Genomic DNA, 25,465 nt, shown 5'->3' on the forward strand with positions numbered 1-25,465 from the left:
CCCAGCAGCTTCCGGAGATGCAGTCATGCCTCCCCACCCTTCACTGCCACTCCCAGCCTCCCTTGAGACTCAAGGACTGTCCCACGGGAATGAAGTGAAAGTGACGTCTTTCTCCTTGTTTCCAGTCTGTGGTGAGGGAAAACAGCTGGCTACGCTTGAGAGGGTATGGAAACTGGTCAGAGTGGTTACTTGGGACCTGGGGCCTCAGAGCCACCCGTTGCTAAGGAGAGGACTCTGGTCAGGGCAACTTGCCAATGCTCTAGGAATGACACCTAGACATTCCTAAAAAATGATAGCCTAAAAATTCATCCCATTGTAGAAATACAGGCAGCACTAGCTTCTCTGGGCCCCTCAGTTATCAAAAAAAGAGGAGGGAGGCAGACCCTCAGGGTTACTTTACATCCATATACCTAGCTACAACATAAACATCAAATGATATGTGGCCAGGCGCGCTGGCTCATGCCTGTAATCCCAGCACTTTGGGAGGCAGAGGCAGGCAGATCACTTGAGGTCAGGAGTTCGACACCAGCCTGGCCAACATGGAGAAACCCCGTCTCTACTAAAAATACAAAAATTAGCCAGGCATGATGGTGCATGCCTGTAGTTCCAGCTACTCAGTAGGTTAAGGCATGAGAATCGCTTGAACCTGGGAGGCGGAGGTTGCAGTGAGCAAGATCGTGCCACTGCACTCCAGCCTGGGCTAACAGAGAGAGACTCTGTCTCAAAAAAAAAAACAAAACAAATCAAAACAAAAAGCACAACATATGATATTAATGATTTTCCTTGAAATTAAATAGTGGTATGAGTAACAATGTATAATAACTGTAAATATTAATTCAACTCGTTTCATTTCTACATTCAGGTGAATAAAAATATCTGATCTATTCTCTGTGGGTAATAAGAGTATTTTTGTATCTGAAAAGCCTAAGAGAGGGTCAAACCCTTAAAGAGCTGGTAAGTCCAGGTAGGAGGACCCTGAGGTCCTTGGAGATGGGCAGGTACAAAATTTTGCCTGGCATAAAATTCAATTAATCAATCAAACTAATGTGTTTCTTGACTATTTACTTTCTGAAATTTTCCTGTGACCCTTAATACAACTGTGAGTACCTTCAAGTGTCCTCCAGATCCAGACACTTCTCAAGTGGCCAGCCCCATGCTAACTACTAAAATAGTGGAGCACCAGTAGTCGGGGCTGTGGGTACATTCCTGTAGGCTGTGCACCGCACAACCCCACAGGTGCTGTTGACCTAAACAGAACACAAAGGCACACAGCAACTGCTAGTAGTCCTGATACGTAAGCCACTCAAGTTCCAAATGCCTAGTCACAGAAGACAAAGACTGAAGAACCATTCCAAATATTAGAGACACTGCAGGGATATGACGACTAAATGCAACGTGTGACCATGGGCAGGATCCTGCCACAGAAAAATAGTATTTTTCTTTACTATAAAGTACATTACAGGGGTAATCTGAAGAATTTGAATAAGGCACAAAGTACTGTATCAATGTTAATTTTCTGACTTTGGCATCGTATCGCAGTGATGTTTGGGGGGAAATATACACAGGATTCAAGGGTAAGTAAACAGGCGTCACATCTGCAGCATGCTGCCAAACATTTAAAATAACAGACCAAAGCAAATGTAGTAAAATGTTAACTTCTGGGAATCTGAAAGGTTATACAGGAATTCTTTGTGGTTTTTTTTTGTTTGTTTGTTTGTTTTTTTACAGAGTTTCGCTCTGTCGCCCAGGCTGGAGTGCAATGGCGGGGTCTTGGCTCACTGCAACTTCCGCCTCCTGGGTTCAAGCGATTCTCCTGCCTCAGCCTCCCAAGTAGCTGGGATTATAGGCACCTGCCACTACGCCTGGCTAATTTTTGTATTTTTAGTAGAGATGGGATTTCACCATGTTGGCCAAGCTGGTCTTGAACTCCTGACCTCCGGTGATCCGCCCACCTTGGCCTCCCAAAGCACTGAGATATAGGCGTGAGCACCATGCCTGGCCTCTTTGTGCTATTTTTATAACTCTCCTGGTAAGTCTGATGTAATTTCAACATAAAAAGTTAATCTCAGGCTGGGCGCAGTGGCTCACGCCTGTAATCCTAGCACTTTGGGAAGTTGAGGTGAGCAGACCGCTTGAGCTCAGGAGCTCCAGACCAATCTGGGCAACATGGTGAAACCGTGTCTCTACAAAAAATACAATTAGCCAGGCATGGTGGCGTGCGTCTGTAGTCCAAGCTACTCAGGAGACTGAGGAGAGAGGATCTCTTGAGCCTAGGAGGCAGAGGTTGCAGTGAGCCGAGCTCACACCACTGCACTCCAGCCTGGGTGACAGAGCCAGACCCTGTCTCAAAAAAAAAAAAGGTTAATTTCTAAACTCACAACTTCCATGGTGGGAGGGAAGTACACTGATCACACTGAATAATGTTTTTGGCACCAGGAGTAGAAACTGTTGGAGCACAGACCTGTACTATAGTCCCAGCTACTCGGGAGGCTGAGGCTGGAGGGTCACTTGAGCTCAAGAGTTCCAGGTCGAAGTGTGCAATGTTCATGCCTGTGAAAGCCACTGTACTCCAGCCTGGGTAAAATAGTGAGACTCCATCTCTTTACAAAAAAAAAAAAAAAAAGAAAGAAAAAGAAACAAAAGAAACTGCTGGCTGGGTGCAGTGGTTCATACCTGTAATCCCAGCACTTTAGGAGGCTGAGGTAGGCAGATCCTTTGAGCCCAGGAGTTCGAGACCAGCCTGGGTAACATGGTGAAACCCCATCTCTACAAAACATTAACAATTAGCCAGGATGTAGTGGCATGCACCTGAGCTACTTGGAAGGCTGAGGTGGGAGGATCGCTTGAGCCTGGGAGGTGGAGGGTGACAGAGTGAGACCCAGTCTCAAAAAAAAAAAAAAAAAACCAGAAACTGCTGCTGGAAAAGAGCACAATTTACATCCTTTTTGGAGAGCTCTCTGGTTTTATGTCTAGACCTCTGGGGTGGGGAAGAGGTCAACATGCTCCCCAAATCAAAGACCCAGCACTCTCTACACTGGCATAATCCATGAGGGTCTAGGCAGCCTGTCCTGCCATACTTACTCAAAGAAATTTAAAATATCCTATCTGCCACAGCTGAAAGAATTGAAGAGGCATTTACTGCTATCCAAAACCCTAAGTAAAATTACTTAAGCTGTGATAAAAGTGCTACAAAAAAATGCTCTGGCAGGCTCTAAACTTGGAAGTCTTGTTTTTCTTAGCATGGCATGCCACCTTGTGGCAAAAAGCTAAAAAGTCATCAGATGAGAAAGGAAACATCCCTTCAAAAGTCATCATAAGAAATGCCGGGCACGGCGCCTGTAATTCCCTGCACTTTGGGAGGCCAAGGCTGGCGGATCGCTTGAGGTTAGAAGTTCGAGACCAGCCTGGCCAACATGGCAAAACCCCATCTCTACTAAAAATACAAAAACAATTAGCCAGGCGTGGTGGCATGTGCCTACAATCCCAGTTACTTGGGAGGCCAAGGCACGAGAATGGCTTGAACCCAGGAGGCTGAGGCTGCAGTGAGCCACTGCACTCCAGCCTGGATGACAGAGTGAGACTCTGTCTCAAAAAAAAAAGGAAAAAAAAAGCCTACTTGTGTGAATCACTTATTATTTCCAGGAACTTTGTTAAGCATTTCCTCAGATTAATTCTCAAACATACTTACAGACAGGGAAACAGTCTTGCAGTCAAATAGCTAATAAATGGCAGTGCCAGAATAAGGGAATAAGGGAGAAGTAAACCAACCTAAACTTAAATCCATAGGCCTCCGAGAATCCCAGCGCCCAAACCACAACTGTCTAGTAACAACGCAATTGGAAGAATTCTTCCTACTGTGCCCTCCTGCCACCATTTTTATTCCCCATAATCAGGCTGGCCACAGGCTTTTCCCAAAGCCAGCCATGCCCACACCTAAACATTTTCCTCTCCTTTTGTTAATTCCCTGTGTTCTATCTATTCTAAAGCCACCATAGCAGCACTTTCCCCAAATTACATTTTTCTTTTATTTTTTTTATTTTTTATTTTTTATTTTTTTTTGAGACAGTCTTGCTCTGTTGCCCACACTGGAGTACAGTGGCTTGATCTGAGCTCACTGCAGCCTCTGCCTCCTGGGCTCAAGCAATTCTCCTGCCTCAGCATCCCAAGTAGCTGGGATTACAGGCATGTACCACCATACTTGGCTAATTTTTTGTATTTTTAGTAGAGATGGGTTTCACTATGTTGGCCAGGCTGATCTCGAACTCCTGACCTCAAGTAATCTGCCCGCCTCGGACTCCCAAAGTACTGGGAGTACAGGCGAGAGCCGCTGTGCCTGGCCCCAAATTACATTTTTCAACATGTTCCAGGAGATAAATTTCCAAGTCTCAGTAATAGAAAACACCATATAATTGACACCCTCCTCCTAAAGACATACAATACACACACACACACACACACAAAAAAAAAAAAAAAAAAAAAAACCTCTAAGAAAGAAAAGAACTTTACAGAATTTTAAAAAGGTGTTTTGGAGCCTAGTGTGGTGATTTGCACCTCTAGTCCCAGCTACTCAGGAGGCTGAGGCAGGAGGATCACTTGAGCTCAGGAATTCAAGACCAGCCTGGGCAACATAGCAAGACCCCTCTCTAAAAAAGACTAAGCAAGAAGGCGGGGCGCAGTGCTCACGCCTGTAATCCCAACACTTTGGGAGGCCGAGGCGGGTGGATCACCTGGGGTCAGGAATTTGAGACCAGCTTGGCCAATATGGTGAAACCATGTCTCTACTAAAAATACAAAAATTAGCCGGGTAGGATGGTACCCACCTGTAACCCCAGCTACTCGGGAGGCTGAGGCACGAGAACCATTTGAACCTGGGAGACAGAGGTTGCAGTGAGCTGAGATTGCACCACTACACTCCAGCCTGGGTGACAAGAGCAAAACTCCATCTGAAAAAAAAAAAAAAAATCAAGAAATAAAGAAAGAAAAAACATGTTTAGACCTAGTTCAGCCCAGGGTTTCCCAAGCTTCTTTGACACACACACCTTTTCTCAGGTACACCTTCAGGGCCACCAGTGTTCTAAAAGCAACTTGGGAAAGGTGCAACTAAATCTAAAAAGGAGAGCTGAGTGTGGTGGTGCACACCTATAGTAGACTGAGGGGAGGACTGCTTGAGCCAAGGAGTTCAAGGCAGTAGTGAGCTATAATCACACCACGGCGTTCCAGCCTGGGCAAGAGTAAGACACTGTAAAAAGGACTCCATAAAAAAGAACAATGAAAACAAAGACTCCTGAGTTGATGTTGTGACTGAAAACCCTTCCACTGGGGAAAAATGTAGAGATCATGAGTTCAATGCACCCATGTCAAACCCTCTGGGGGCTCTTGCTCAAGGGGCCAAATTATATGGTTTGATATCATCAATCTTTCAGTCTTCCAATTTCATTATGTTGATGCAAATCAATGTCAAGTCAACGTCTTGTGTATAGAAATACACACACACACACACACACACACACACACACACACACATATATATATATACTGGAAAAATACAGCCTCTGGGTTTTTACTCAGTGGCAACAGCACAAGGAATACAAGGATCTTAGAGCAATAAAATGGAATACTCTGATAATATTGGTCCACACACAAAAAACACTCAGATTCAATGACCACTGAATCTATGTGACAGCTTGAGAACCTTAGTAAGGGAATCACATGCATTTGTAGATGATTACCAAAGATTCTGCCCTAACTCATAATATTTCTAAGAGTGGATACTAACATTATCTCTTTTATGTTTTTATTTATTTTTTATTTTCTAGACGGAGTCTCGCTTTGTCACCCAAGCTGGAGTGCAGTTGCACGATCTTGGCTCACTGCAACCTCTGCCTCCCGGGTTCAAGCAATTCTCCCTGCCTCAGCCTCCCGAGTAGCTGGGATTACAGGGGTGCACCACCACGCCTGGCTAATTTGTTGTATTTTTAGTACAGACCGGGTTTCAGTATGTTGGCCAGGCTGGTCTCGAACTCCTGACCTCATGATCTGCCCGCCTCGGCCTCCCAAAGTGCTGGGATTACAGGCGTGAGCCCCCACGCCTGACCACATTATCTCTTTTTTTAAAATGAAGAAACAGAAAATTAAGTGATTTGCTCACAACTAAAAAACAAATTCAGGGTTGGGTGTGGTGGCTCATGCCTGTCAACCTAGCACTTTGTGAGGTTGAGGCAGGTGGATGTGTTGAGACCAGTTCACCCAGAACAGCATAGTGAGACCCCCGTCTCTACAAAAAACAACTTTTTTTTTTAATGACATGGAGTCTTGCTCTGTTGCCCAGACTGGAGTGCAGTGGCACGATTTTGGCTCACTGCAAGCTCTGCCTCCAAGGTTCACGCCATTCTCTTGCCTCAGCCTCCCAAGTAGCTGGGACTACAGGTGACCCCCACCACGCCCGGCTAATTTTTTTGTATTTTTAGTACAGACAGGGTTTCACCATGTTAGCCAGGATGGTCTCGATCTCCTGACCTCGTGATCCGCCCACCTAGGCCTCCCAAAACATTTTTTTTTAATTAACCAGACATAATGACACGTACCTGTGGTCCCAGCTGCTTGGAAAGCGGAGGTAAGAGGATTGCCTGAGCTCCAGCATTTGAAGGTGCAGTGAGCTGTGGTTGCACCACTGCACTCCAGCCTAGGCAACAGAGTGAGATATTGTCTTTAAAAAAAAAAAAAAAAATTCATGGCAGAGTCAGAAATAGAAAAAAACAGCCACCATTTCCAGTCAGTCTTCAGGGAAACCTTCAATAACCCTCACATAAGCATTTTACAAGTCTATTTCTTCTTATTTTATAAACATAACTGCATCTTTAATTGGGTATACTTGAATAATTGAAAACTGAACAGCAAATCAATTTTTATGGTTCATTTTCTCCAACAAACAACAATATTAAACTGTATGAGAAGTAATATTTATTGCAACAGGTTATGAGGTGGAAACAAATAATTAGTCTTACAATTTGCTAGAAGCATGACAGAGCTTACTAACATTTTGAAGAAAAAACAGCAAAGAAAGAAGTCATCAAACAAGATGGTATCTTGACAAAGGCACAGCGCTCCACAACTGCTTCATACTCTGTGCACAAGAAATCCTCTCAAGAGAGAGGAGAGGAGTGATGCCAAATGGGCTTACATTAGAGCCGTGGACACTACCACTGGTATTATTCATACAACCAAGGCTCTACAACACCCCTCTGGAGAAAAAGTGCAACACAAAATCTGTGTAACAAAGGAAAGCAAAAGTAGCAATAAGGGCCCAGAGGAATACAAACAGTGCAAATACAGTACTGCAAACTCAGTAAAAGGAGTTTTTGATTGGAGTATGAACTTTCAAGTTGAAGATATATTTCACAGGAATATTCACCCAAAGCTTGAGAGCTAGAGCGAGGAGAGACTTGCAGTCGGTAACTGAGTAGATGAAATGCATAATTTTTCACTAGGTGATAATTCCCTTTGGGAAGAAGTGCTTTATCTTTAATTATTCCACTTTTTGTTAAATGGTTCATGCTTTTAAACTGCGATTGTCTCAAACTTGCTTGCTATTGAATTGTGTAACATCAGATAATGGCAAGTTGTCAAAAGATAACCCCAGTGGATATTTGAAGCTGCTTTTACGAGAAGCATGGTGCTGAGCTGCCTTACACAGTCTTTTTACAGTAACCATAAAAAACTGAGTTTATTTGATCATGTATTATCCCTTCTCACATAAAGTCATATTAGAGGAATTCTTTTTAAAAGAAGCTTTCAAACTAGTCCTTTGGGCATTTAAAAAATCATTATATAAAAGTACACTTCTTCAATACATAAGAACAAATATTTTTTCTTTACCAAAAAAACCTCATTTTTAGGCCAAAATAAGTTACAACTTGCTGAAAACCTTTTATGGCTCAGTGCTCATTCTAGATATATGAAGCTATATTTTTTTGTACATCTTCAGAAATCAGATACTGAGAGTGGTCCTTCTTTTTTTTGAGAGGGAGTTTCACTTTCTCCCCCAGGCTAGAGTGCAGTGGCGCAAACTCAGCTCACTACAACCTCTGCCCCCCGGGTTCAAGCGATTCTCCTGCCTCAGCCTCCTAGGTAGTTGGGATTACAGGCACCCACCACCATGCCTGGCTAATTTTTGTATTTTTAGTAGATGGGGTTTCGCCATGTTGGCCAGGCTGGTCTCAAACACTTGACCTCAAGCAATCGGCCCGCCTCGGCCTCCCAAAGTGCTGGGATTACAGGCATGAGCCACCGTGCCCAGCCAGAGAGACAAGAGTGGTTACTTCTAAAATGACAAGATGATGTAACCCTGGCTCAGGGAGTAGATCAAGTTCTAAATCTCAGGAATAAAAAACTGATACTCATTATCCAATTCATATAGTCTTGTATTATATACATATTAACAGTCTATGCAATGAAAAATAAAGAAATTTCATAAAACTATTTCAAAACTCAGAACATAAAAATGTAAAGAAACAAAACATTTAATGTACAATCTACTCCATTTGGCAATGTGTACTGAGAGATAAAAAACCTATCTACAAACAGAATATAACAAAAGGAAAATGTGACTTAAGAAGTGATCTCAGGTCCATAGCTCTTCGGTTCTTCCAAATTTGTAGATCAGAGTGCTAGAAAGATAGGAAAACAAATCATGAGGAAAAAACCGATGGAACAAGCAACACAGAATTCATTTTCTCAATATGCTTTGACAGGTACTTCACTGATTCCTATCAATTTTAAAAATTAAATTAGACATCATGGCAGTGTTGGTCTTAATTTGCTTATTTTGTAAAGCAGTCTGTTAACTACGATGGCTAAGCATAACTGTATTCTTTCTTAAGGCCTGGGAAGTTATTAACAGGCAACTTGTAAGGAAAAGAGACATTTCTCTATGACTCAGAAACAAAAAAATGAATCAATAAATCAAAAGAAAAAGGGAGAGAGACCATTCTCATAGTGACAGGCATTAGGGCCATTTTATGTCTCCAGGAGCCTACCATATCTAAATTACAGTAACTGAAGCACCCTACAACAGACCATGCTGCAATTCTTCATTCCTTCAACAAATAATTATTGTGCACTGAAAAGTGGCTACGTACCAAGCACCTAAGTGCTGGGGTGAGACTGAGTCCAGACAAACTTGCTCCCTAATGGAGCTAAGGGTCTAATAAGGAGACAATCAAATAAATATAAAATTCCACCTATAAAAAAATGCTATAAATGAGAGGTGCACAGTATCCTCAGAGTGAAACATAAGGATCAGACCTAGTTAGAGAGGTCAGGAAAGGTTTTCCTGAGGAGTGGTGACTGAATTGAGATCCAAAAGAAGAGGGGGAATTATCTCGGCAAAGTGAGAGAGGATAAGGAGGCGGGAGCAGAGAGATGGGACACTCCAGGGCCATGAGTTGAGCTGTGGGCATACTAAATGTTTTGGATTTGAAATGTCAGCAACCCAAGAAGGGATGTGAAGTAGGAATCTGGATATACGGTTTAGGCCTGGAAAGGGACATCTGTGACTCACTGGCATATAAGCAATAATTGGAGTCCTAAGTACACATGAGTTCACCCAGGGACAGAAAAATAACAAGGAGTTTCTTAAGGCCAAGAACAGCTTTAAGAGACTTCAAAAGGTAGTAGGCAGGGAGTGGAGGATCAGCTTGCAAGGAAAACAGAGGAGTGACCAGAGATGTAAATAAAAGAGGTTGTACCCCAGAGCTTAGAACAGGTCCAGCACACAGGAAGCATACAGGCTGCCTGATAACTTGCCAGCCTCTGGGCAGAGCACATAGATGACACAGCTGTCAACTATGTCCACCTGAGCATACAAGGTTTCTGTTCATCCAATTGTCATTTAAGTGGATTCATCTACCACCACAAAGTGTTGAATCTGAACTTAATCTCTAAAGACTGCCTAAAATGTCTTCATAACAACTTACCATATCCCCAGAAGGCTGTCAGTCACATGTCTTTGACATATAAGACAGCAGAAACTGCCAAACATCTTTCAAAACCAGGAGTGTCAAGGCCACAAGGCGAAATCCAGGTAGAGCATGGTGGTCTGAGAGTGGAGGGAGACCACATGGCTAGAGTTTGCCATGCAGCGTACAGACAGCCACACAGAGGGAACGCAGGAGATCTGCAGGGGGTGCTCCTTCAGTCTGTGGCTGAGTACTGAAGAGTCTATACATAAGAGGAAACTACCCAAGGGAAGGAAAGAACCACTGGAAAGAACATGTCCCAGAGCTACCACAAGGCTGGAAGAGAGTTCATACTCTCACAAGTCGAGTAGAGAAACCTCGGAATACATGAAGCATCAGAGAGTGGAAACACTCAAAGGGTATGACTGCCTTAGTAGGGGGACAAATCAGTCCTGGGCTACAGCTGCTCTGGTCCTGCCTATAACAAAGCTTAAGAGACATAAAAGGATCAAATTGTTTCTGATTGTTTCTGAGTCACCTAACTGCATCCCAAAACAAAGCTTAAAAACATTTAAAGGACTAGCAAAGATCCAGTCCCAACAAATTGTATGCAAAGCACCAAATAAGGGAAAATAGGTCCAAAATGAAGAGTAAACAGAAGCAGAAAAAATCAGTAGAAGCAGATGCAGAAATGACACAGACAATTGGACAAGGACCCTGAGATAGCTATAAATATACTCTGTGTGTTCAAGGTGGAAGAGGGCATGAGCATGTTAAGGGAAGACATCAGAAATATTTTTAAAGACCCAATCAAGCTTCTAGAGAGAGAAAATACAATGTCTGAGATGAAAAAATCATTGGATGGCATAGATTAGACATTGCAGAAGTAGAGATTAATTTATTTAATTCTTCAAAGTGACAATAGAGAGATTAATTTTATTTATTTATGTATTTATTTATTTTGAGATGAAGTCTCGCTCTGTTGCTCAGCAATGGTGTGATCTCAGCTCACTGCAACCTCAGCCTCCCGGGTTCAAGTGATTCTCTGGCCTCAGCCTTCCGAGTAGCTGGGATTCCAGGCATGCACCACCATGCCCAGCTAATGTCTGTATTTTTAGTAGAGATGAGGTTTCACCATGTTGGCCAGGCTGGTCTCGAACTCCTGACCTCAAGTGATCCACCCGCCTTGGCCTCCCAAAGTGTTGAGATTACAGGTGTGAGCCACCATGCCCAGCCGAGATTAATTTTAAAATGTAACAATAGAAACTATCCAAACTGAAACACAAACAGGAAAAAAAAATCTGACCATTAGCAAGCTGTGAGACAACTTCGAGCAGCCTATTATAACCTGTAATTGAAATCCCAGAGGGAGGGTGCAGTGGATACAAAAAATGCTTGAAGAAATAATGGCTGAGAAGAATCTAGATTTATTGATGAACTATAAACCTATAGATCCAAGAAACTCAATATACACCAAGCAGAAGGAATATCAAGAAAACTAGACCACAGTACATCGTAATCAAATTACTTAAAACCAGTGACAAAAGCAAAGTTTTTCAAGGCTTAGAAGTTACTTAATGATTTATGGGGGATGGGGACAGAGGCAGATAAAATTTTATAAATATATACCTAAATATCCTATGTTGACATTAAAAGACATTCATTCTAGGCTGGGCATGGTGGCTCACACCTGTAATCCTACCACTTTGGGAGGCTGAGGTGGGCAGATCACTTGAGGTCAGGAGTTCGAGACCGGCCTGGTCAACATGGCAAAACCCCATCTCTACTAAAAATACAAAAATTAGCTGGGTGTGGCAGTGCATGCCTGTAATCCCAGCTACTTGGGAGGCTGAGGCACGGAATTGCTTGAGCCTGGGAGGCAGAGGTTGCATTGAGCTGAGATTGCACCACTGCACATCAGCCTGGGCAACAGAGCGAGAATCCAGCTCAAAAAAAAAAAAAAAAAAGACATTCATTCTAAAAAGCATAGAATGGACTTCATTTTGGGGATATTTTAGAAGACTGCCCCTAAAAAATACTTTTAATATTGGTTTATTTTTCCACTTACTTTAACTTTTCTTAAAAGGGCATTCAGAAAACAGAATTTCCCAACAGGTTTTGTATATAATATGCATACTATGTATTAATTATTATTATTATTTTGATATGGAGTCTTGCTCTGTCACCCAAGCTGAAATGCAGTGGCACTATCTCGACTCACTCCAACCCCCGTGTCTCCTGGGTTCAAGTGGTTCTCCTGCCTCAGCCTTCCGAGTAGCTGGGATTACAGGCACACACCACCATGCCCGACTAATGTTTGTATTTTTATTAGAGATGGGGTTTCACCATGTTGGCCAGGCTGGTCTCGAACCCCTGACCTCAGATGATCCACCCACTTCAGCCTCCCAAAGTGCTGGGATTACAGACATGAGCCACCACACCTGGCTGGCCACTAGGTATTAATTCTGGTTTTTCCTTTTTTCTTCATAAAGGTACTTTACCTGTTGTTGTTAATTTTTTTTTTCCCGAAAGGCTAGTCAAGTGAAACAATGGGTCTGATAGGGTTTTTTAATAAGACACAGGCTATGGAAGCAGCAGTCTGGATTCAAATCCAGGCTTCTCATTTACTAGCTAGGCATCCTAAAGCAAGCCCTAAACTTTATTTCCTCATCTATAAAATGGGAATAACACTGGGTGTGGTGGCTATAATCCCAGCACTTTGGGAGGCCGAGGCAGGCAAATTGTCTGAGCTCAGGAGTTCGAGACCACTCTGGGCAATATGGTGAAACCTCGTCTCTACTAAAATACAAAAAATTAGCTGGGTGTGGTGGTGTGCACCTGTAGTCCCACCTACTCGGGAGGCTGAGGCATGGGAATCGCCTGAGTCCCGAGGCGGAGGCTGCAGTGAGCCGAGATTGTTCCACTGCACTAAGGCAGCTTGGGCTACAGGGTGAGACTCCCTCGCAAAAAATAAATAAATAAATAAAAATAAAAATAAATAAAATGGGAATAACACCTGACATATATTTAAAATAATTAAATGCATTATTTTATTTTATTTTGGTCTCACTCTATTGCCCAGGCTGGAGTACAGTGGTGCAGCCTTGCCTCACTGCAGCCTCAACCTCCTCGGCTCAAGCAATCCTCCCACCTCAGCCTCTTGAGTAGCTGGCACTGTACACCACCACAACCAGATAATTTTTATATTTTTTTATAGAGACAGGGTTTTGCCATGTTGCCCAGGCTGGTCTTAAACTCCTAGACTTAAGCAATCCACCCACTTCAGCCTCCCAAAGTGCTGGGATTACAGGCATGAGCCACAGCACTTGGCCTAAATGTGAATTCAAAGGGTAAAATATATAAAGGATCCAGCTAAAGTCTTGATACACAGCAAGACCTCTAGTTAAAAGGCCTCTCTGCTCTTATGTAACAGTGGAATTCTCACCTTTTAAAAGAAGTTCTATCATTGTAACCAATCCATGGGATTTATATGTGTTCCATATATATGCTGCCTTAATTAAGTTGACATTTCTGTAAATGTTACAGGCGTGGTTAAAAAATAAGGCAACTTACCTAAAAAATATAAGTGCATTTTGAAAAAACACAGCTAGTCCCGGATAAACATCAGTATCTACATACACAAAGTAAAACAGATTAGACGGTTATATAGGCAAACGGCAGTAATAAAGTATCAGTGCCATTCATAATGATACATTTTGTATATTACAACATACTGCTATTATTCATTAACTGTAAGACATCTATAATGAAACTGAAAGAAGAAAATGCCAATTTAATTCCCCCAAAGCAAAGGACTGCTCTTACTCTGGATAAAAGTCAATGAACTTACAAAGTTTTCTTTTAGTCAAAGTAATTGCTGGTTCTAGCTACATCAAAACTGCTGAGGAAGCAGTAACTTGCTCCTTTGCCTCCTATGGCCAACACTGAAATGCAAAATCGTAAAAACATACAAAATAAATTCTTGACTTTTAAACAGTCTGTTAATTTATTTTCTTTCATGAATTCAAGAGGTTTTTTGTGTTTGTTTTTAAAGAAATGGGGCCTCACTATATTGCCCAGACTGGAGTGCAGCAGCTACTGACAGGCACAATCATAGCAAACTACAGCCCAAACTCCTGGGCTCAAGTGATCCTCCTGCCTCAGCGTCCCAAGTGGATGGGACTACAGGCACACACCACAATGCCTGGCTCTCAATCCAGGAGTTTTATCATGCAAATATGTCAGATATAAATAACACAGTTAGAATTTATCATTCTCTTTCACTGAATCTATCCTGGAGGAAATGGTTACTATCTTTATAGGAAAAGAAAAGAAACAAAATGGAAACTACTTAAATTTTTGTGGATTATTAACTTTTGTAAAACTACAAATGTTGATTTAAAAAATACTGGAGAAGATGAAGAAACTGGTTCAATTCTGAGCTCTTGATATCATAGCAAACAATACAGCAGCATGGTTAAGAGCTCCAAGTTTGAGCCAGACCCAGGTTTGAATCCTATCTATACCAATGACTAACTGTATGACCTTGGGCAAATTATTTAACCTCAGCATATCTTCATTTCCTCACCTGTAAAACGGGCATTGTAATAGCACCTACTCCAGAGTGTAAGAATTAGATGAGTGACTCTATATAGTGCTTAGAACAGTATCTAGCCTATAAAGTAATATATAAAAGTTAGCTATTACTATGAATATTAATAGTTCAAGCAAATCTGTACAGTAAAAGATTTGAAACATGGCCTAGAAATGCTCTCTGAAATAAAGTCATATTCACTTTACAAATAGAAAAGTATATTTAGGCTGGGTGTGGTGACTCACGCTTGTAATCCCAGCACTTTGGGGGGCCGAGGCGGGTAGATCACTTGAGGTCAGGAGTTTGAGACCAGCCTGGCCAACATGGGGAAACCCTGTCTCTACTAAAAATACAAAATTAGCCAAGTGTGGTGGTGGATGGCTGTAATCCCAGCTACTTGGGAGATTGAGACAGGAGAATCACTTGAACCCAGGAGGCAGAGGTTGCCGTGGGCCAAGACTATACCACTGCACTCTAGCCTGGACGACAGGGCGAAACTCCATCTTAAAAAAAAAAGAAAAGTATATTTAAATGAGTAATGCTGTTGAAATAGAAAGATGAAATTCACAATCAAGAAATTTATCAATATTTACTAGTTCTTTAAATATTAAGATACAATTGGCTGGGAGCGGTGGTTCATGCCTGTAATCCCAACACTTTGGGAGGCCAAGGTGGGTAGATCGTCTGAGATCAGGACTTCAAGACCAGCTTGGCCAACATGGTGAAACCCTGTCTCTACTAAAAATACAAAAAATTAGCTGGGAGTCGTGGCAGGCGGCTATAATCCCAGCTATTCGGGAAGCTGAGGCAGGAGAATCGCTTGAACCCGGGAGGCAGAGGTTGCAGTGAGCCGAGACTGTGCCATTGCACTCCAGCCTGGGCGACAAGAGTGAAACTCCAACTCAAAAAAAAAAAAAAAAATACACTCAACAATAGTAAAGCCTTTACAAACAATATTTCCCTACATACCTTACAGAAATGGCAATTTATCCCTATTTTCACTATAGAAACTGTAAAGCTCATGGATCACTTCAACTGCTAAAGTAAATAAGCAGGAAGCCATTAACCTGAGGCTATCTCCCTACTCTGAGTTCCTGTGTGACCCCAACCCACCCCCCGGAACCTAACTTACGTAAACGAACTGAAACCTAGGGTTATATTTTTTAATAAATAGCTGAATTTTAGTCAATCACAAACGGCTAAGCTTTAGCCAATCCCAAGCAGCCAACTGATGAGACCATGCACAAATAAGACAAACATATAGCTACAGACAATCTAAAAATTTCTTGTCTTTGCCTTGTGTTCAGCCTACAGCTGCTCATGCTGCTGGGTGAAGCTCTCCGAACCTCTTCTTGGTTTGCTCAAATTGCTAATTTATCTAAAGTTTTTCTTTAACATAACTATGGAGACCTTTTAAGAAAATCAGTGACAGCAGCCCACCCTTCTTACAGTCAGGGATAAAATGAGTTTAAAACACACTTTCCGGCTGGGCACAGTGGCTCACGCCTGTAATACCAGCACTTTGGGAGGCTGAGGTGGGTGGATCACCTGAGGTCAGGAATTCGAGACCAGCCTGACCAATATGGTGAAACCCCATCTCTACTAAAAATACAAAAATTATCTGGGCGTGGTGGCATGCACCTGCAGTCCCAGCTACTTAGGAGGCTGAGAAAGGAGAATTGCTTGAACCTGGGAGGCAGAGGTTGCAGTGAGCCGAGATCACGCCACTGCACTCCAGCCTGGGCGACAGAGCAAGGTTCTGTCTCAAAAAAACACTTTCCTATAAGATTCCATGTGTATGAAATAGATACAGACAGAAAGTACATTAGTGGCTGCCTAGGGCTAGGGGAAGGAGTAATGGGGAGTGACTGCTAATGGGTATGGCAGTGATAAAAATATTCTCAAATTGGATTGTGATGATGGTAGCATAATTCTGTGAAAATACTAAAAACACTGAACTGCATATTTTAAATGGCTGAATTATATGGTATGCAAATTATATCTCAATGAAGCTATCTTTAAAAAAGCATTTTCCTTCAGATATGCTTCATACCAGAATTATGTGCTCTAGTAGTATTTTTAATTAACTAAAAAACACATTTTAGATACAGTTGGTGACCAATGTTATTTAAGCCAACCACTGTCCTCTTGTAATCTGACTTATTTTGTATCAAGTGAAAGACAAAAGAAAAACAAAAGTATTCCAAAGATCTTATACTGATCAAACTATGAGACTTAAATGATACTATCAAAAGTATTCAAAAACCAGCTGTGAGTCAGGACAAGGAGATGTGACAGTTAAGCAAAGAAGGCTGACAAAGAGATTCCAGAGGTAGAGGAGTCAGAGGATGAATAAATTGCGTTCTCTGAAACTGACTCCTGTCTTAGGAGCAAAGGAAGAGGGCCAGTGAAACAGTCTTCCGACGCTTCCAGAGACATTTCTGAAACTGGGTTCTATTTTTCATCACTACTGTGAATGAAAAGCTATGGCACCTGGCAGAGCCACAGATTTCAGCATGGTGTAATAAGAGCTCATCCCACTCCATCAGCTGTTTCTGTATGAAGAGTATACATATGTGTTCAGTCTTGCCCTTAAAAAACTCCCCCTGTACCCATGACTTAAAAATTACAGGATTGGCTGGGCATGGTGGCTCACACCTGTAATCCCAGCACTTTGGGAGACCAAGATGGGTGGATCACTTGAGGTCAGGAGTTTGAGACCAGCCTGGCCAACATGGTGAAACCCTGTCTCTACTAAAAAAATACAAAAATTAGCTGGGTGTGGTGGCGTGCACCTGTAATCCCAGCTACTTGGGAGGCTGAGACAGGCAAATTACTTGAACCTGTGAGGCGGAGGTTGCAGTGAGCCGAGATCACACCACTGCACTCCATCCTGGGTGACAGAGTGAGACTCCGTCTCAAAAAAAAAAAAAAAAATTACAGGATTAGGTTGGAGAGAGAAGGTGTCAATGAAACGAAAGATTATCTACTGGCAATCCATAGATTATCAGATAAGGGGTCTATACCCCTTATCTGAAATCCCTGGGGCAAGATATATTTTGGGATTCAGAATTCTTCAGGTTTAAGAACAGTAAGGGAAAGCACATATACTACATAGCACCGCCAGCTGGGTATAGACAAGCACATCCTATAATCTAATATATCTATTTTCATTCCTACAATAAAACATTTGAATACTTACACTAAATGGGATAAAGAAAATAGTGAGCTCCATGTCAGTTTAGGTCAGGTTTTGCTGCCAGACTAGTTATAAATAACTTGATTTTCAGCATTTTGTGGATTTTAGAATTGTATATAAGGGAGTGTACACCTGTACTGGTTTCTCACTTTTTCTACTGCAACTCCCAGTAAATGGGCCTCTAGCATAAAATCCTGGCTGTCTAAGGTAAAGAAGGAAAGCAGAAAGTCTGGAGACAGCTGAGAGGTACCAGCTTTGTCAGTGGCTTGGATTTCCTAACCAGGGCTATCCTACTGCACTAAGTGTTCCCACTGACAAGTTTTATTAAACTCATGTATCTTCACACAGAGCAGTATCTTCAATCTAAGTGAACAATTATACTAAGTTGTACTCAAGGTAGAGTAAGCCAAATATAAAAGACATATCTGAATCTCTCCTATAAAATACAAGAAGAATATATACTTACTTTGGGTAACATATGCACCAAAAAGAATCCACATGGAAGCAATAAGTGACCCAAACATCAACATGAAACCAATGAAAAGCCAAACTCGAGCACCTGTGTAGAGAAGAGGCTTTATGATTTTGTTCATTTTTGCAGCTCTGTAACGTCTTAGGAATACATAATACTAGGAGCCCTGTTAGCCTAGTATATATTATGCATATCAAAGATAGTCATATATTTATATAAATCTGCTGTAAGTTAAATGAATGATGATTTAAAAAAAAAACACTAAAAGAAGTTAAACCATACATGGAAAAGGAAAAAAAGAAAGTTACCTTTTTACTGACTAGAGAAACGAATGCCCTAATTAAAAAATTACACTGTTGTATATATTACCAAAATAATTGCTCTATTAAAAGTAGCACATGTATTCTGGATAGCCATCACCACATAGGAATGAGAGACTTCAAATGAAGAAGGACTAATATGTCCCTTTTTAATCAATGGTAAGCTTCTATAATCACACCATTATTCAATATGGTACAAATAACGGCCATTCTTTAGGAGTATATTCAGGCTTTTTTATTGCTGAGGCAGCCAATCTGTACCACATATTCATGAAAACTTCAAGATCAGAAGTATCTCTTCAACCCTGTATTGAACAAAATTCTAGATCTCGATAATGTAAATCATCTGGACACTTGAGTAGATTCAACATATTTTTAGGAAAGCAGGTTAATACTTGCACCAGATCCTGTTCACAGGTATACTGACAGCCCCATCAACCTCTGGAAGGGGAAGAAAGCTCCACTGAAGTAAAAATAAAATCCTAGCCAATTTCCATAACAGAAAACTAAATTTGCCTCAGTTGCAAATATTTTGTTACCAGGGAAAAGATTCATTTTAGACACCAGATAAGGAAGAAGCACTGATCAAAGTTCATAATGGTTAGAACAGCTGATATCTGAGAGAAATAGGTCTCTATATTATCTAAATTTTATTACAATACTAAGCAGATCTCCAGAAATAAACAGTAATGTTTAGTTCTTTGGAGAAATACAATCTCTAAATTATATTCAATCATAGCTTTTATCTAACGTGAATAAAAGGAACTATTAAAAATCCTTAAAGGCGGGGCATGGTAGCTCACACCTGTAATCCTAGAAATTTGGGAGGCCAAGGTGGGCTAATTGCCTGAGCTCAGGAGTTCGAGACCAGCCTGGGCAACATGGTAAAACCCTATCTCTACTAAAAGAAAAAAAAATCAGTCGGGCTTGGTGGCGGGTGCCTGTAGTCCCAGCTATTCAAGAGGCTGAGGCAAGAGAATTGCTTGAACCTGAGAGGCAGAGGTTGCAGTGAGCCAAGATCATGCCACTACACTCTAGCCTGCGCAACAAAGCAAAACTGTTTCAAAAAAAAAAAAATCCTTACAATTATTTTCCATCATGTCCTTTATTTATGGCTATATACATTAAACTTTCTAATAGAATTAAACAAGAAAAAAATTTCTCTTGTAAAGTAAGTATGTCTGAGGGCATATTAACAAAAAGAGAAAAAAAAGAAAAAGAAGTATGCTTTTGTTTAGCAAAAAAATAAAACTGTAACATTTTCTCTTGTTTGCTTTGGCTACAAGGAAGCTCTGAGTTAAGGTTAATGAACAATTAAAAGCATCCATCTTGTCCCAGGTTCTAAGTACAATGATCATTTTTCTACCTAGTTCCTGTTCTTTTTTATAGTTTTATTATTTAGCTGTTTCATTTATAGTATATTTATTATTTTGATACTTTCCTATTAATTCCTCCGGGAACTAAATAGAGATAGTTTACAGATAAACCACTTAAGCAGTACAAAAGCTTAAGAGTAGCAATACCTGGGCATGACTATAAGACAGTTTGTCCTTAATTTTTGAAACACTAAACAGAAATTGCACTATATGCACAATATAAAAATATAAACTGTACTGTTAATTTTAATAGAATAGGGAATATCATAGAATAAAATATAATAATCACTTAGGGTAAAAACGACGGGCTTGGGAACCAGACAGACCAAAGACAAATACAGGTTCCACTTTTAAGCTAAAAAACTTTGGATAAGTTACAGTGAAACTTCCTATAAAAAACAGATAATAGTGGCCAGGCACAGTGGCTTACACCGGTAATCCCAGCTACTCTGGAGGCTGAGAGGGGAGGATTGCTTGAGCCCAGGAGTTCAAGGCTTTTCTGCGTCATGATCATGCCACTGCACTCTAGCCTGGGAGACAGAGCAAGACCTCGTCTCAAAAAAAGATAATAGTAACATAATTCACAGCAATGTCCGTGGAATATTCTTGAAAGAAAAATGATGGAGTACATTATTGTATGCTCTACATACAACATCTTCACTTGCTAATATATATTTTTTCTTTACCTTCCCTCATTCCTGACATTACTGCTGAGGCTGACATACAGGATATGATGAAAAGTAAGCGCGATCGCATGCGCATACACACACATATTGTGCACTTTAAACTTAGGCTCATCTGTCATTTGTCATTATACCCTCTCGCAAATTCTCCATGGATTCCAGTAGAAGTGAGGTTACAAAATCTACATCAGCATTTAAAGCATCAGGTAGAAGGCTGGGCATGGTGGTTCATGCCTGTAATCCCAGCACTTTGGGAGGCCAAGGCGGGTGCATCACCTGAGGTCAGGAGTTTGAGAACAGCCTGGCCAACATGGTGAAACCCAGTTTCTACCAAAAATACAAAAACTAGCCAGGCGTGGTGGCAGGCACCTGTAATCCCAGCTACTCAGGAGGCTGAGGCAGAAGAATTGCTTGAGCCTGGGAGGCGGAGGATGCAATGAGCTGAGATCGCACCACTGTACTCCAGTCTGGGTGACAGAGCGAGACTCCGTCTCAAACAAAATAAATACAAAATTTAAAAAATAAAACATCAAGTAGAAAAGAAAGCTAAGCTCTTCAAAGCTGCTTTATTTGGTTTAAAAGGCTATGATACTTACTATATGATCCCATTTATATGAAATCATAGAAAAGGCAAAGCAACCATCATAGAAAGTAGATCAGTAGTGGCCACGAGGTGAGGGGAAGAGTATTAACTATAAAAAGGGGTATGAGGGAACTTTTTGGGGCAATGGAAATGTTCTGTATCATGATTGTAGTGGTAGTTACACAACTGTAACTGTACACATTTGATCAAGCTCATCAAATTGTACACTTTAAATTGGTGGATTCTGGCCAGGCGTGGTGGCTCATGCCTGCAATCCCAGCACTTTGGGAGGCTGATAGCTTGAGGCCAGGTGGATAGCTTGAGGCCAGGAGATCAAGACCAGCCTGAACAACGTGGTAAAACCCTGTCTCTACAAAAAATAAATAAATTAGCTGGGCACAGCAGCATGTGCCTATAATCACAGCTACTTGAGAAACTGAGGCAGGAGGATCACTCGAGCCCAGGCTGTTGAGGCTGCAGTGAGCCAAGATCATGCCACTGCACTCCAGCCTGGGTGGCAGAGTGAGACTCCGTCTCAAAAAAAATTAATAAAATAATAAATACATTAGTGAATTTTATTATACTTAAATTATATTCAATTAAGCTGACAAAAAGAAAAAATATACACGTGATACCAAACCAGACAAAGTGACCAAATGGTTCTAGATGGGAAACAAGCACAGCATAGTGGCTAAAAGCATGGGCTCTGGAGCCAGACTGTCCATGTTCAATCCTGGCTCCACCACTTACTTGCTCTGTGACTTTGGACACATTATGTAAGCCCACTGTACCTTAATTTCTTCATATTATAATGTAAATTTTTTTTTTTTTTTTGAGACGGAGTTTCACTCTTGTTGCCCAGGCTGGAGTCCAATGAGGTGATCTCGGCTCACCGCAACCTCTGCCTCCCGGGTTCAAGCGATTCTCTTGCCTCAGCCTCCCAAGTAGCTGGGACTACAGAAGTGTGTCACCACGCCTGGCTAATTTTGTATATTTTTTAGTAGAGACGGGGTTTCTCCATGTTGGCAGGGCTGGTCTCGAACTCCTGACCTTAGGTGTTCCACCCGTCTCAGCCTCCCAAAGTGCTGGGATTACAGGCGTGAGCCACTGCGCCCGGCCGTAAATGTTTAAAAAACACAATTGGGCCGGGCTCGGTGGCTCACTCCTGTAATCCCAGCACTTTGGGAGGCCAAGGTGGGTGGATCACCTGAGGTCGGGAGTTCGAGACCAGCGTGATCAACATGGAGAAACCCCATCTCTACTAAAACTTCAAAATTAGCCAAGCATGGTGGCGCATGCCTGAAATCCCAGCTCTCGGGAGGGTGAGGCAGGAGAATTGCTTGAACCCAGGGGGTGGAGGTTGTGGTGAGCCAAAAACCCACCACTGCACTCCAGCCTGGGAAAGAAGAGCTAAACTCCGTCTCAAAAAAAAAAAAAAAAAAAACAAAAATTGGATAACAATTCAAATGAATTCAAACTATAAAAACTAATTTATGTGTAGACAAATAGCATCTTTCTACTGAACAATTTTGTTGCAGTCTGTAGGTGGCTACTCAGGTGATCAGAAGTGAATGTAAAGACACTGTAGTCCTAGGTTTGATCCCCTAATGTGTTCATTACTTTCCTGTTAATAATCATAGTCAGCCATCTTGTAAGTAACATTATTGGTCAACAATTGGGATAATAATAAATCCATCATTAGCACTGGAGTCCAAGATCCATTTGAATAGCAACATTTTTTATCTATATCATGGGCAGTGTAACATGACAAAAACAGTAACTTCTAGCAATAACTTACTTTCTTAAGGATTTGAATAACACTAAAACTTTGTTTTAAAGCAAATAAAAAATATTCTATATAATCATTACCAGTCTTGAATAAAGACTCACAAGAGAGGCTTTTTTTCTGGTGACAAATTTCTGTTTTGTCAACACCCATTAACAGCTCAAAGTATCTTTACCTGTTCTTCCTAAACAGCCGCTTTCATAGCTATCACCTCTCACCTGAGCATTGGATACAGCATTTATCCTAGAACGGCACAAAATCATCAAATGAATTTCAGTATTCGCTGTTAAAATACTCAAATATTTATATAACACTTAGACGGAAAACAGATTATTTCATAACTAAAATCAGTATCTGAATAATTTAACATATTTTTAACCTAATAAAAATGCTAGTTGATAGAAATGTTACATTAGTCTTATTTTCATAAAGTACACCCAGAAAACACATTTATTTTAAGAGATTTCTATCACTTCTCTCCAGAGATTATACAAGAGGGACCAGTTTTCTGGATTCTTTGTCTATTTCACATTTATACATGAATGACTCAGTGCTATCCCACTTCAAGGTTCTCATTATTATCAAGAGTTAAACAGTTTCTCTTTGTGTTAAAAGTCAAGTGATTTTCTATGATCCATTTCTTAAGCTCAGAGAAAATGTAGCTTATGTATAATATGCCCACTTTATTCAGCTTCCCCTTCCATTTTTGTTAGAGCAAGGTACATTAATTAGTAACAGGAATTTCCTTTTTTTAGAAGCCACAATGGATATAAGTAGTTCCATTTTCCAAAATATAACCTTTTTAAAACTCCTGGCCAGGTGCAGTGGCTCACACCTGTAATCCCAGCACTTTGAGAGTCCACAGCAGGCAAATCACGAGGTCAGGAGTTCAAGACCAGCCTGGCAAACATGGTGGAACCCCGTCTCTACTAAAAATACAAAAAATTAGCTGGGCGTAGTGGCAGGCACCTGTAATCCCAGCTACTTGGGAGGCTGAGGCAAGGGAATCACTTGAACCCGGGAGGCAGAGGTTGCAGTGAGCCAAGATCACACCAGTGTGGTCCAGCCCAAACAACAGAGTAAGACTCTGTCTCAAAAACAAAAAAACCTCCTGATGGTATAAGGAAATGATGTAATCTTAATGTTTAATATTTTTTAATTGTTAAAAGACATCCATAAAAAGCTTCCAAGCTTTTTTATGAAATGAGGTAACATAAACTTAAAAATAATTTAATAAAAACAAAAGCCACAAACAAATCTCTTTTGAGGCCAATCTTGCCTTTTCCTCAAACACTGGCAAACACAGTCAAGTAGCACATTAAAAAAAATAAAAATAATACTGCAAGGTAAAAGTTGAGTGTACTACAACACCTACGGGTGATTTACTACTAAAAAAATGCAGAAACGTAACATGTTTCATGAAATCTCAGAGCCATCAGTTTTAAGATACACCATTAATTTTTAATACTGACAAGAAATAAAAATGTTATCAATTATAATTCTAAGATACCACTGACTGTAAGATGCATCCTGATATTCAGAGGTATTAAAATGCGAAAAAGTAGATCTTGCAACTGACAAAATATGTAACTGACCAGATTTAAAAATATGAGGAAAAAAAAAAATCACAAGATAATTGTTATAGGTGCTAAAAAGATATATGACCAAATCCAACACTCATTCTTGGTTAAAAAAAATCGTAATAAAATGGGAATTATGTATGTATCATGTTAAAAAATAGTCTATCAAATAAATTAAAAAGTTATTCAAGAAAGCACTGCACATTAACAGGAAAGTATTTTTAGAAAAATCACCTTGAATAGAGAATTATCTTCATACTTACATGAAGAAAGCCAATGTGGAAAATACACCACATGTGTGAAAGGCATGGTTCAACTGTTCTGGCTTAGGATACACCACAGCTGCATCAATCATTATCCACCAGCCTGTAAAAAACTTAAAACACAGCCCAAGTCACTGAAACATTAAAACTCTTGCTAGCACAATACCTGCTTTTTAACATTCCTTTTGTCCTACAGATCATATAAATGGGCTGGGTACAGAGGCTCACGCCTGTAATCCCAGCACTTTGGGAGGCCAAGGCAGGTGGATTACTTGAGGTCAGGAGTTCAAGCCTGGTCATCATGGTAAAACCTCATCTCTTCTAAAAATACAAGGCCGGGCGCAGTGCTGACATCTGTAATCCCAGCACTTTGGGAGGCCAACACGCGCAAATCACCTGAGGTCAGGAGTTTGAGACCAGTCTGGTCAACATGGTGAAACCTCGTTTCTACTAAAAGTACAAAAATTAGCTGGGCATGGTGGCAGGCACCTGTAATCCCAGCTACTTGGGAGGCTGAAGCAGGAGAATCGCTTAAACCCAGGAGGTGGAGGCTGCAATGAGCTGAGATCACGCCACTGCACTCCAGCCTGGACGAAAGAACGAGACTCTGTCTCAAAAACATTCAAATATAAATACAAAAATTAGCTGGGCAT

The 25,465-nt window shown here is 41.0% G+C and overlaps 1 protein-coding gene across 5 annotated transcripts in view; it reads right to left on the reverse strand.

The window, feature by feature from the left end:
• Positions 1-25,465, reverse strand: part of TMEM50B (transmembrane protein 50B) — a 47,489-nt gene that overhangs the window by 9,712 nt on the left and 12,312 nt on the right. For 2 of the 5 annotated variants that reach the window (NR_040016.2, XM_011529746.3), the window contains exons 3-7: positions 24,813-24,925; positions 23,145-23,212; positions 18,216-18,308; positions 13,530-13,587; positions 6,585-8,666 (exon numbers count right to left, since the gene is read on the reverse strand). Coding sequence is in view for 4 of the 5 variants with exons in the window: in XM_011529746.3 (XP_011528048.1) it covers positions 8,621-8,666; positions 13,530-13,587; positions 18,216-18,308; positions 23,145-23,212; positions 24,813-24,925 (378 nt within the window). In the remaining variant the exon portion in view is untranslated. Of the gene's footprint in view, positions 1-6,584; positions 8,667-13,528; positions 13,588-13,806; positions 13,901-18,215; positions 18,309-23,144; positions 23,213-24,812; positions 24,926-25,465 lie in introns of those variants that run through there. The other 3 variants (NM_006134.7, XM_047440988.1, XM_047440989.1) reach the window with 3 other exon arrangements.

Source organism: Homo sapiens, chromosome 21 (genome assembly GCF_000001405.40).
Source record: "Homo sapiens chromosome 21, GRCh38.p14 Primary Assembly".
Lineage (NCBI taxonomy): Eukaryota > Metazoa > Chordata > Mammalia > Primates > Hominidae > Homo > Homo sapiens.